The sequence below is a fragment of the Homo sapiens genome, chromosome 13 (genome assembly GCF_000001405.40).
Source record: "Homo sapiens chromosome 13, GRCh38.p14 Primary Assembly".
Taxonomy (NCBI): Eukaryota; Metazoa; Chordata; class Mammalia; order Primates; family Hominidae; genus Homo; species Homo sapiens.
In genome coordinates, this window is record NC_000013.11 from 19,813,637 (window position 1) to 19,826,455 (window position 12,819).

At 44.6% G+C, this 12,819-nt stretch overlaps 1 protein-coding gene and 1 pseudogene across 7 annotated transcripts in view, besides 1 other annotated feature; both read right to left on the reverse strand.

The window, feature by feature from the left end:
• Positions 4,295 to 4,822: an enhancer, noted in NCBI's record as "H3K4me1 hESC enhancer chr13:20392071-20392598 (GRCh37/hg19 assembly coordinates)". NCBI's record gives its function as "activates a minimal SCP1, AML or CMV promoter by ChIP-STARR-seq in primed H9 embryonic stem cells {active_cell/tissue: H9 hESC(primed)}" and the evidence as "EXISTENCE:reporter gene assay evidence [ECO:0000049][PMID:30033119]".
• Positions 4,546 to 4,975, reverse strand: ST6GALNAC4P1 (ST6 N-acetylgalactosaminide alpha-2,6-sialyltransferase 4 pseudogene 1; annotated as a pseudogene).
• The window catches only part of ZMYM5 (zinc finger MYM-type containing 5), a 40,168-nt gene continuing 37,194 nt past the window's right edge, over positions 9,846 to 12,819 (reverse strand). For all 7 annotated transcript variants that reach the window (XM_047430769.1, XM_005266594.4, XM_047430768.1 and 4 more), the window contains one exon: positions 9,846 to 11,599. In XM_047430769.1, coding sequence (XP_047286725.1) covers positions 10,841 to 11,599 — 759 coding nt within the window. In that variant the 3' untranslated portion in view covers positions 9,846 to 10,840. The remainder of the gene's footprint in view (positions 11,600 to 12,819) is intronic.

Genomic DNA, 12,819 nt, shown 5'->3' on the forward strand with positions numbered 1-12,819 from the left:
GGGATTACAGGTGTGAGTCACCGCAGCCAGCCCCAGTTTTCTACTTGTTTATAGGGGGAGGAAAGCCCAATACCAGTTACTCTGACATAGCTGGTACATGTGTCTATTTTTTTTGTGTGTGTTTTAATTTTTATCCCAATCTTATGAAAATTTCAAACATTCAAAAAAGCTATATCAGAGATAAAGCCAGATACTAAAGAGGTAAGGGCAGATTTTAATCAGTAACATACTATTGCAATATGCAAAAGAGTCCAGTGAAAATTGAACTCAACTTCAATGTGGGCCTGGTGCAGTGGCTCACGCCTGTAATCCCAATACTTTTGGAGGCTGATGCGGGAAGATCACTTGAGACCAGGAATTCAACACCAGCCTGAGCAACATAAGGAAGTCCCATTGCTACAAAAAAAAAATTGCTGGGCATGTAGTAGTAGTCTCAGATACACAGGGAACTGAGAGATGGGAAGGAACCCTTGAGCCCAGGAGTTCAGGCTGCAGTGAGTTATAATCACACCACTGCACTCCAGCCTGGGTGACAGAGCAAGACTCTGTCTCAGAACAGATAAACAGTCCGGCTGCGGTGGCTCACGCCTGTAATCCCAGCACTCTAGGAGGCTGAGGCGGGCAGATCACCTGAGGTCAGGAGTTCGAGACCAGCCTGGCCAACATGGCAAAACCCCGTCTCCACTAAAAATGCAAAAATTAGGGCCTGGCACAGTGGCTCACACCAGGAATCTCAGCACTTTGGGAGGCTGGGCTGGGTGGATCACCTGAGGTTGGGAGTTCAAGACCAGCCTGACGAGCATGGAGAAACCCTGTCTCTACTAAAAATACAAAATTAGCCGGGTGTGGTAATGCATGCCTGTAATCCCAGCTACTCGGGAAGCTGAGGCAGGAGAATCGCTTGAACCCGGGAGGCGGAGGTTGCGGTGAACTGAGATCATGCCATTGCACTCCAGCCTGGACAACAAGAGTGACAGTCCGTCTCAAAAAAGAAAAAAAGAAAAAAAGAAAAAATTAGCCGGGCATGGTGGCACATGCCTGCAGTCCCAGTTACACAGGAGGCTGAGGCAAGAGAATCACTTGAACCCGGGAGGCAGAGGTTGCAGGGAGCCAAGATCATGCCACTGAACTCTAGCCTGGGCAACAGTGGAGACTCAGTCTCAAAAATAGCCAGGCGCGGTGGCTCACCCCTGTAATCCCAGCACTTTGGGAGGCCGAGGCGAGTGAATCACAAGGTCAGGAGTTCGAGACTAGCCTGGCCAACATGGTGAAACCCCGTCTCTACTAAAAATAAAAAAAATTAGGTGGGCGTGGTGGCGCGTGGCTATAATCCCAGCTACTTGGGAGGCTGAGACAGGAGAATTGTTTGAACCCAGGAGGCAGAGGTTGCAGTGAGCGAGATTGCACCACTGCACTCTAGCCTGGGAGCCCGGGTGACAGTGCAAGACTCCATCTCAAAAAAAATAAATAAATAAAATAAAAATAAACAAATGAAAACTTCGATGGGAATTAACTGGTTGTTTTAAAGGGAGAATGAGGGAGTAAGGAGGGGGTGAGCAGGGGCTCATTAGAGTCAGGGAAGTAAAAAACTCCAAAAAGTGGAAACTGGGGGAGTTGGTCCATGTGAAACCCAGTTGGGTTTGCCAACTGGTGCTTATTAAAATTAGGCTCCTACCCTCTTTCCCACAGAGGCTGGAAGATGGGGGTCCTAAGCCTGAGGTGTTTGCTGGAACAAACAGTAAATTCTTTAGGTGATCTTGAGTTTTCTCAGGCAAGCGTCTAGGGGTCATCCTATGGATGTGACCTTGAGCTGTTAAAAGTCATGTTGGGGTCGGGCCCGGTGGCTCATGCCTATAATCCCAGCACTTTGGGAGGCCAAGGTGGGTGGATCGCCTGAGGTCAGGAGATTGAGACCAGCCTGGCCAACATGGCAAAACTCTGTCTCTACTAAAACCACAAAAATTAGATGGGCATGGTGGTGGGCACCTGTAATCCCAGCTACTCGAGAGGCTGAGGCAGGAGAATCACTTGAACCTGGGAGGCGGAGGTTACAGTGAGCCAAGATCACGCCACTGCACTCCAGCCTGCGCGACACAGCATGATTGTCTCAAAAAATAAATAATTTAAATAAATAAATAAAATACAAAAATTAGGCAGGCATGGTGGTGTGCACCTATAATCCCAGCTATTAGGAAGGCTGAGACAGGAGAATTGCTTGAACCTATGAGGTGGAGGATGCAGTGAGCTGAGATTGTGCCACGGCACTCCAGTCTGGGTGACAGAGCAAGACTCTGTCTCAAAAAAAAAGTCAGGTTGGTGGCCAGGCACAGTGGCTCATGCTTGTAATCCCAGCACTTTGGGAGGCTGAGGCAGGAGGATCACTGGAGCCCTGGAGTTCAAAGCCAAACTGGGCAATATAGCAAGACCCCATCTCTACCAAAATAAAACAAAAAATTAGCCAGGCGTGGTGGTGCTCATCTGTAGTCCTAGCTACTCAGGAGGCTGAGGTGGGAGGATTGCTACAGCTCAGGAAGTTGAGGCTACAGTGAGCCATAATCATGCTACTGCACTCCAGCCTGGGTGACAGAGCAAGACCCTGTCTCTAAGAAAATAATAAAAATTAAAAAAAAATTAGAGTCAACATCCTTATAACCACTACTTACATCTACCATTAACATATTTCTTTTTTTATTTTATTTTATTTTTTTTTGAGACCTCGACTCACTGCAACCTCCGCTTCCTGGGTTCAAGCGATTCTCTTGCCTCAGCCTCCTGAGTAGCTGGGATTACAGGCATGCGCCACCATGCCAAGCTAATTTTTGTATTTTTAGTAGAGACGAGGTTTCACCATATTGGTCAGGCTGGTCTCAAACTCCTGACCTTGTGATCCACCCGCCTTGGCCTCCCAAAGTGCTGGGATTATAGGCGTGAACCACCGCGCCCGGCCTTGCTGTGCTTTTTAAATTGTCTTTTTGAGGGATTTGTCCATCAAATTTCTCAAATCCTTTTTCTTTTTCTTCTTTTGAGACAGAATTTCGCTGTTGCTGCCCAGGCTGGAGTGCAATGGTGCGATCTCGGCTCACCACAACCTCTGCCTCCTGGGTTCAAGCGATTCTCCTGCCTCAGCATCCCAAGTAGCTGGAACTACAGGCATGCGCCACCACGCCTGGCTAATTTTGTATTTTCAGTAGAGATGGGGTTTCTCCACGTAGGTCAGGCTGGTCTTGAACTCCCAACCTCAGGTGATCCACTCGCCTTGGCCTCCCAATGTGCTGGGATTAAGGCGTGAACCACCACGCCCAGCCTCTTTTTTTTTTTTTTTTTTTTGAGACTGAGTCTCGCTCTGTCGCCCAGGCTGGAGTGCAGTGGCCCGATCTCGGCTCACTGCAACCTCTGTCTCCCGGATGCAAGCAATTTTCTTGCCTCAGCCTCCTGAGTAGCTGGGATTACAGGCATGTGCCACCATGTCTGGCTATCTTAAATTCTTTGACCTAAATTGTTTATAATACCTTCTCAAGTCTCTTTGTTTTGTTTTGTTTCATTTTTGTCTCCCCCCGCCCCCACTCCAGAAATATCCATAAGTTCCTAATATGGCACTGACAGTCACAGCTCAATGGCGCCTTCACCCAACAAACCCTAGACTCTCTGCTGCCCCAACCACGGTGACCGACCTGAGAAGTGTGGCACCAAAGGGCGGTAGGGTGTGAGAGACTGCCACAGTTACTACTTGAGAGCGTCATTATGACAGTTACTACTGTTACTACTTGAGACCGTCATTACGAGACTGAACGGAGGACGAATGTAGAAATGAAAAATTAAAAGAAACTGTTTTAAAGAAAGGGCCAGGGGAAGAAGACAGGTCCCTGCTTCTAGTGAGCAAAGGCAGCTGCCTGAGCCTCTACAGCCCTTCCTATTTATTGGGTAGAAAGAGCAGGGAGCAGGAGGTAACGACTGGTCAAGCTGCTTAATTGATCACAGATTAACATTATTGCTAACAAGCTTCAGATGTGCCTAATTACAAGAAACACTTGTGTCTGGGGCGTCACGCCCTCAGCATTCCTTCTGGGTGGCAGACACAGTTTGTCAGTTTGCCAACATCCAGCTTTCATGAAGTTTGCTGTTTACTTATGTAGCCTCCAGTAGTATACTGAGTTGATCACGACCCTCACTCTTTTGGCCTTCAACAGTAGGGAGCCAGGGGAGGAAGCACCAGGAATGGCACACGGTCATAATGCTGGTGAGTAGGAAGGGCCATCAGCCCCAGGGGCAAAGGCCACTTGACAGACCTGGAGGTGGGGTGAATGCCAAAATGCTGTGGATTACTCAGAGAGTGGAGGTGGAGACAGGGCACCCCCTCCGCTCCCCTTCAAGTCTTGAGGACTGAGACGGCTCCAAGTGTCCTCAGAGTGGGGCAGAAAGGAATCTTAGGTCCACCTGGCATGTGGCAGAGGCAGGATCCATAGATTAAATGTTTTTGGTGGAGTGTGGTGAAGGAGGCTACTTGCCCCTCCAGGACAGGCTTCCTCTTGGTCCAGTGGGAGAAGATGCCTCCTTGGTGATGAAACGGTGGGTGATTTGGGGTAGATGACATTCATGACGCCAGCTCTTCTGGAAGTCATAGTAAGGCACCGAGGGGTGGCTCCTCTCCCTGCAGCGGCTGTCGCTTACCATCCTGTAGACCGTGACCTCCTCACACAGCGCCAGGACGAGGATCGCGGTGAGCCAGCAGGTGACTGCGATCCTGGAGCTGGTCGCAGCAGGCCATCCTGCACGCGGTGGAGGCGCCCCCTGCAGGCCGCAGCGCATCCCCAGCTTCTGGACGCACTGTGAGCGGTTATGCAGCAGCACGCTCATATGAGATGCCCCGCAGGGTGCTATGCAGGCCCACGTCCCCACAAAGCCCATGGCAGGCGCCCGGGTGCCGGAGCACGCACTTGGCCCCATGGATCTCTGTGCCCAGGGCTCAGCCAGGCATCTGGCCGCTAAAGGTTTACAATTTTATTAATTTGTAGGCACATATTATGAAAGGCTTTTTAATACCAACAGGAGTGAGGTGTTAAGTCTTATTTTCCAGGGGTTTCTCTGGCTTTATTTATCCTTAGAAGCAAACTGGATTAATATGCTCTTCACTCTAAATGTGATTTCCAGGATATTAGTTCAAAATAATCTACTGTCCACATTTAAAATTAACACCACTATATTCCCGAACTAATTTCACACCCTCTTAAAAACAAAGATTCTATTAATTGGCTCAAAATTTGCTTTCAAGTCTAGTTAAATTCTCTTTTTTTTTTTTTTTTTTTTGAGACAGAGTCTCATTCTGTCTGTCACCCAGGCTGGAGTGCAAGGTGTGATCTCGGCTCACTGCAACCTCCACCTCCCAGGTTCAAGCAATTCTCCTGCCTCAGCCTCCCGAGTAGCTGGGATTATAGGCTGCCCACCACCACGCCTGGCTAATTTTTGTATTTTTAGTAGAGACGGGGTTTCACCATGTTGGTCAGGCTGGTCTTGAACTCCTGACCTCAAGCAATCCACCCGCCTTGGCCTCCCAAAGTCCTGGGATTACAGGCGTGAGTCACTGAGCCCAGCACTTTTTTTTTTTTTTTTTTCAAAGTGAAGTAGTGAGAGGAGGGAGAGTTCAATTTGTAACTGACTGTGAACAATTGAGATAACTGACTTACTTTACTGGCTCACCTTGGACCAGCTTTTTTTTTTTTTTTTGACACTCTGTCCAGCCCAGGCTGGAGTGCAGTGGCTCGATCATGACTCACTGTAGCCTCAACCTCCAGGACTCAAGTGATCCTCCCACCTCAGCCTCCCAAGTACTTAGGATCACAGATGTGTGCCACCACACCTAGCTAATTTTTGTATATTTTGTAGAGACGGGATTTCACCATGTTGCTTAGGCTGATCTCAAACTCCTGGGCTCAAGGGATCCACCTGCCTTGGCCTCCCAAAGTGCTGGGATTACAGGCATGAGCCACCACACCCAGCCCAGCCTCAAATTCTTAATTTCAGCCTTAACATGGTCACACACTGTAAGTCAACCTTATAGAGCAGTGGTCCCCAACCTTTTTGACACCAGGGAAGACAGTTTCATGGAAGACAATTTTTCCATGGATGAAGGGGGTAGGGGTGGTTTCAGGATGAAACTGCTCCACCTCAGATCATCAGGCATTAGATTCTCACAGGGAGCCTGCAACCTCCATTCACAATAGGGTTCCCAGTCCTATGAAAATCGAATGCTAACCCTGATCTGACAGGAGGCGGAGCTCAGCAGTAATGCTCCTTCGCCAGTTGCTCACCTCCTGCTGTGTAGCTCAGTTCCTAACAGGCCACAGCCAGGGGTTTGGGGACCCCTGTTATACAGCACTATTCCAGCTCTAAAATTTTGTGCCTTCATATTGTCTTTGTCTATGCCTTTCCCTATTCATCTGCCACTGATGATTGCAGCTGCCTATGTTAAGATCTTATGTTGTGTCAACGAGTTGAGGAATTTTAAACTCCAAGTAATGGGGAACGTCAGAGCTTTGGAGACAAAAAGAGTGATGAGACCTAAAAAGATATAGTATTATTCTTTCCACTGAACTTGACTGAGATCTTCCATTCAATTATATTCATTTTTACTTTTTCTTTTTTTTCTGAGACAGTCTTGCTCTGTCACCCAAGCTGAAGTGCAGCAGCACAATCTTGGCTCACTGCAACCTTTGCCTCCCAGGTTCAAGCAATTCTCCCACCTCAGCCTCCTGAGTAGCTGGGATTTACAGACACATGCCACCATACCCGGCTTATTTTATTTTTTTATTATTATTATTATTTTTGAGATGGCGTTTCGCTCTTTTAGCCCGGGCTGGAGTGCAATGGCATGATCTTGGCTCACTGCAACCTCTGCCTCCAGGGCTTAAGCGATTCTCATGCCTCAGCCTCCAGAGTAACTAGGACTACAGGCTTGCACCACCACACCCAGCTAATTTTTTGTATTTTTAGTAGAGACAGGGTTTCACCACGTTGGCCAGGCTGGTCTTGAACTCCTCAGGTGATCCACCCGCCTCAGCCTCCCAAAGCGCTGGGATTACAGGCGTGAGCCACCACGCCCGGAATTTTTCTTGTATTTTTAGTAGAGATGGCTTTTCACCATGTTGACCAGGCTGGTCTCAAACTCCTGACCTCAAGTGATCTGCCTGCCTTGGCTTCCCAAAGTGCTGGGATTACAGCTGTGAGCCACTGAGCCTGGCCTCACTTTTACATTCTATGTAGCAAATTGTACATAGTATATATATAAAGTGGCTATTAGCAACTCTTACTGGCTCATGACACTAAGAGAGGACCAAAGAAATCACAAGAGGAAAATAGGTCAATGTAAGAATTTTAAAGATAGCAATTTTGAAAATCAGAAGTTTATGAGAACCATCTCACTTGTCCTCAGTGAGATGAGAAAACCAGTAAGTCAATATTAATTGGCATTGCCATTCTCTCCAAGACTATTTAGATTATCCTTTCTAATTTTTGATATAAAATTAGTAGTAGGAGATAATTTTTTTCTAATGACTTTTCCCAGTGAAGTAGTTAAAAAGATGAAAAGAAACCCTGGGTACAGTCCAGATCAGTGATGACAGTTCCTGCAGCTGGGGAGGTGAAGGATGGTAAATAGGACTTTCACATCTATGTTTTCTCCCTTCCTTCCTTATAGTGAGCACACAATAATTTTTTTTTTTGGAGACGGAGCCTTGCTCTGTCACCAGGCTGGAGTGTGATAGTGCAATCTCAGCTCATGCAACCTCCAACACCCTGGTTCAAGTGATTCTCCTGCCTCAGCCTCCCGAGTAGCTGGGACTACAGGCGTGCACTACCACACCCAGCTAATTTTTGTATTTTTAGTAGAGACGGGATTTCACCACGTTGGCCAGGATGGTCTTGATCTCCTGACCTCGTGATCTGCCCGCCTCGGCCTCCCAAAGTGCTAGCATTACAGGCGTGAGTCACTGTGGCCGACCACATTAATTTTACAATGTTAAAAAAATAAAAATTAGGCCGGGCATGGTGGCTCACGCCTGTAATCCCAGCACTCTGGGAGGCCGAGGCGGGCGGATCACCTGAGGTCAGGAGTTCGAGACCAGCCTGGCCAATATGGTGAAACCCCATCTCTACTAAAAATACAAAAAATTAGCCAGGCACGGTGGTGGGCACCTATAATCCCAGCTACTCGGGAGGCTAAGGCAGGAGAATTGCTTGAACCAGGGAGGCAAGATCGTGCCACTGCATTCCAGCCTGGGCAACAAGAGCAAAACTCTGCCTCAAAATAAATAAATAAATAAATATTAAAAATTAAAAACTAGAAAAGGAAAAAAATTTAATTATTCCCATATAGAGATACTTGCATTTTTATCTTCTCTTCTTAATTTAGTTGATTTTTTTTTTCTAAGGGTTGGGGTTTTATTACGTTGCCTCGTCTGGACTCCAACTCCTGGGCTCCAGGGATCCTCCCTCAGCCTACCAAGTAGTAGGGACTATGGGTATATGTCACTGAGCCCGGATCATCTAACACTGTATTATGAAAGATGTCAAACATAATGAAAATTTGAAAGCTATTTACAATGAACACAGGTCAATGAAACACCTATATCTTTTGAATTTTTTACCTTTAATTGCTATGTGTGGAATTGATGGTGCCTTCTAGGTGTGCAGTATGCTGATGAAATAAATGAATTTAAGGTGAGGATCTAATTTTATTTTTTAAATTGATAAATCTGATGGTTATGCCAAATTATCTTAAACAGCCACTGATTGATTTCAGTAGTTTGCTCAAATACAAAAGGGTCTAATTATACTATGAATCTGTGATTCAGTTGATTGGCAAGCTTTAATGAAATAATGAGTATATTTGTTTACTTATTTTAGAGACAGCGTCTCGCTCTGTCACCCAGGCTCTAGTGCAGTAGCATGTTCTCGGCTCACTGCAACCTCTGCCTCCTGGGTTTAAGCAATTCTCATGCCTCAGCCTCCCAAGCAGCTGGGATTACAGGCATGTGCCACCACGCCCTGCTAATTTTTGTACTTTAATAGAGATGGGGTTTCACTATGTTGGCCAGGCTGGTCTTGAATCCCTGACCTCAAGTGATCCACCCCACTCGGCCTCCCAAAGTGCTGGGATTACAAGCATGAGCCACTGTGCCCAGCCTGAAATAATAAGTACGCTGATAATTTGCAAACAAATTTCAAAACTTGTTCTACAGTCTCTAGAGTATTCTCTGGGCTTCTAGAGCAAACTGGATTTTTGGAAATGTCCCAAAGCCACATTCAGATCCATGTCTGAAAATACTAAATGATCTAGTTGTCAAAAACCAAAATGGTGGCTGGGCATAGTAGCTCAAGTCTGTAATTCCAGCACTTTGAGAGGCTGAGGTGGGAGAATCGCTTGAGACCAGGAGTTGAAGATCAGCTTGGACAACATAGTAGACCCCATCTTTATTTAAAACAAACAAACAAACAAACACTCAAAATGGTTAGAAGTTAATGAGGATTACTTTCACGGGTATTCCAAAAATATATACACTGGTATCATTGAGAGTCTGCAAGTATTCCTAGTGTCATCCCACAAGAACGCACCTTCTGTCCTAGTCACTGCTCATATGCCATTTTGTTTCACAGGAATAGTATATAAAAATTTAATATATTACAAAATTGACATCAGAAATCAGAAACAGAAGGGAGATTTACTAAATACACAGTGATGGGGCTGCTGACCATCTAAAATAACTTAAATCCTTAATTTTCATTGGTGTATCTCAAATTTCAAGCATGCCATCTCTTTTCACAGGGAGAAAAAAGCCCATAACACTTGAAGGTTAACTTAATATATACTTATTTTAATATTTTTTATATTTTTATCAACATAAAATAGGTAAATATAGTTCACATACAATAATAAATGCTAAAACATTTACAAATTAAAATAAACATAAAACCAATAAAATGGAAATTAACCATCATTAACATAACAAATAATGCTGTTTTGCTCAAACAAAGTAGATCACAAGTATTTGGTTTAATAGCAAAAAGCTGTAGTTTCAGATCCCATTCTGTAAACTGAGTAGTTTTACTTTAATAATAATGTTGAGAATGCTTGTTCACATAAGTATCTTATTCAAACTGGTATTGATCAATTCAAGCCTTTCTTTCCTCTTTCAAGGTAATTAGAACATAATATTTTTCTTTCTTTTGAGACTGACTCTCGCTCTGTTGCTCAGGCTGGACTGCAGTGGTGCAATCTCAGCTCACTGCAACCTCTGCCTCCTGGGTTCAAGCGATTCTCCTGCCTCAGCCTCCTGAGTAGCTGGGACTACAGGTGTGTGCCACCACACCTGGCTAATTTTTGTATTTTTAGTAAAGACGAGGTTTTGCCACGTTGGCCAGGCTGGTCTTGAACTTCTGACCTCAATTGATCTACCCGCCTGAGCCTCCCAAAGTTCTTGGATTACAGGCGTGAGCCATTGCGCCCGGCCAAGAACAGAATATTAACCAAACCCATCAAATGGCAGTCATTAAATGCCAATTTTTAAATAGGTGTAAATTGATAGATTTTGAAGATTAACAATTACCTATTGTTAATCTTCATTGCCTAATGAAGTCATTGCCTAATGATGATTGAATCTAATTAGTTTTAGATTTAGAATGGAAACATTCTTTGCTATTTATTTGCTATCATACTTATTGCTAAGGAACTGCTGCAAGTTACTCTGTAGAGGAGACTTACAACACAATAGTACTGACTATTGCAGGACAGATGTTTTCTGAGTAATGTAAGATTCTGATCATCATGCCAAAAAACAACTCAGGTATATTACGTGTACAACAACAGCACACCATCATTTTTCTCATTTTCATATAATCTGTGTTCTGCAGCATCAATAGCTTTATTTTTTTTCAGATCAGATTTTAATTTTGAGTACTTAACACTATTGTTGACGTGCATTTCACTTTCTTCATGTTTACTAAGAATATGTGATAAATGTTGCCAATCTTTGCACCCATTTTCATTTTTCAGTTGATTTTTTCCTTCCCCAAAGAGTTTGCAATATAGACAAAACACAGAATCTTTTGAGGTTGAATAAAGTAACCAGGATCTAGTGGTTTTTTCACCATTTGGAAGAATCCGTGTATAATAAGTTTCTGAAAACTTCCTCCCTGTATTATCTTTTGGAAAGTTAAAATTTCTTACTTGAGGCGGAACATTTTCAACAAGAGTGTCCCGTTGTTTAATATTCAAAATTCGGGGCCACGTACCTGGATCTGCGGAAAGCACAACTGGTACAATGGAGTCTTCAAAATTTTTCTCTTCCAGTTGCTCTTGAAATGTATCAGCTATGGTTGACGTGGAAGAAGGAGGTAAATTCACATTCTCTTGGATCAGTAATGTATCCGTGCCACATTCTACTGAAAGCTGTAGCTGTGAAGTCTTTTCCTTTTTTTCTGGGATTCCCTCTATTTTTTTCAAAAGTGTATTTGACGATCCATATAATTGTTTCTCATTTTCTTCTCTAAAAGCATTCCTTTTTCTATTTTCTGATGCTGTTAATTTTTTTGATTTTGTTTCCATCATCTGAGGACAAAGAGGATTATAATTTTATTTTAGGTTAAACTTTTAAAAATTAATGTATATTCAAATGCTCAATAAGCACATGCTCATCATTAGGCATCAAAGAAATGCCAATCAAAAAGACGACGACGGTCGGGTGCGGTGGTTCATGCCTGTAATCCCAGCACTTTGGGAGGCCAAGGTGGATGGATCATTTGAGGTCAGGAGTTCGAGAACAAGTCTGGCCAATATGGTGAAACCCTGTCTCTACTAAAAATACAAAAATTAGCCGGGCCACAGTGGCATGCGCCTGTAATCCCAGCTCCTCTGGAGGCTGAGGCAGGAGAATCGCCTGAACCCAGGAGGCAGAGGTTGAGCTGAGCTGAGATCGCGCCACTGCACTCCAGTCTGGGCGAAAGAGTGAGACCCTGTCCCAAAAGAAGAAGAAGAAGAAAAAAAAAAAGGTGACAAGTCCCAAAAGAAGAAGAAAAAAAAAGGTGACAACATACCACTTCATATCCAAGAGGATGACTATAATAGAGAATGAGGCTGGGTGTGGTGACACATGCCTATAATCCCAGCACTTTGGGAGGCCAAGGCGGGTGGATCAGTTGAGGTCAGGGGTTTGAAACCAGCGTGGCAAATATGGCGAAACCCCGTCTCTGCTAAAAATACAAAATTTAGCTGGGAGTGGTGGGGCAGGTACTGGTAATCCCAGCTACTCTGGAGATTGAGACACAAGAGACCTCACTTGAACCCTGGAGTCGGAGGTGGCAGTGAGCTGAGATCATGCCATTGTACTCCAGCCTGGGCAACAGAGCAAGACTCCATGCTTAAAAAAAAAAAAAAAAAAAGAGAGAACAAAAGTCTTGGCAAAGATGTGGAGAAACTGGAACCTCTCTAAGATCCTGGTGGGAAATGTAAAGTGGTGTAGCCACTTTTGAAAACTGTCTGGCTCAAAAAAACAAAAAACAAGAAACAAAAAAATAAATTAGATGGGTATGGTGGCAGGCGCCTGTAATTCAAACTACTCGGGAGGCTGAGGCAGGAGAATTGCTTGAACCTGGGAGGCGGAGGTTGCAGCCAGCTGAGATCATGCTACTGCACACCAGCCTGGGCAACAGTGCGAGACTCCGTCTCAAAAAACAAAAAACAAAAAAATGAAACTGGAAGTTTGTCAAAATTTAAACAGAGTTACCCTATGACCCAGCAATTCCACTCCAAGGTATATACCCAAAAGAAAT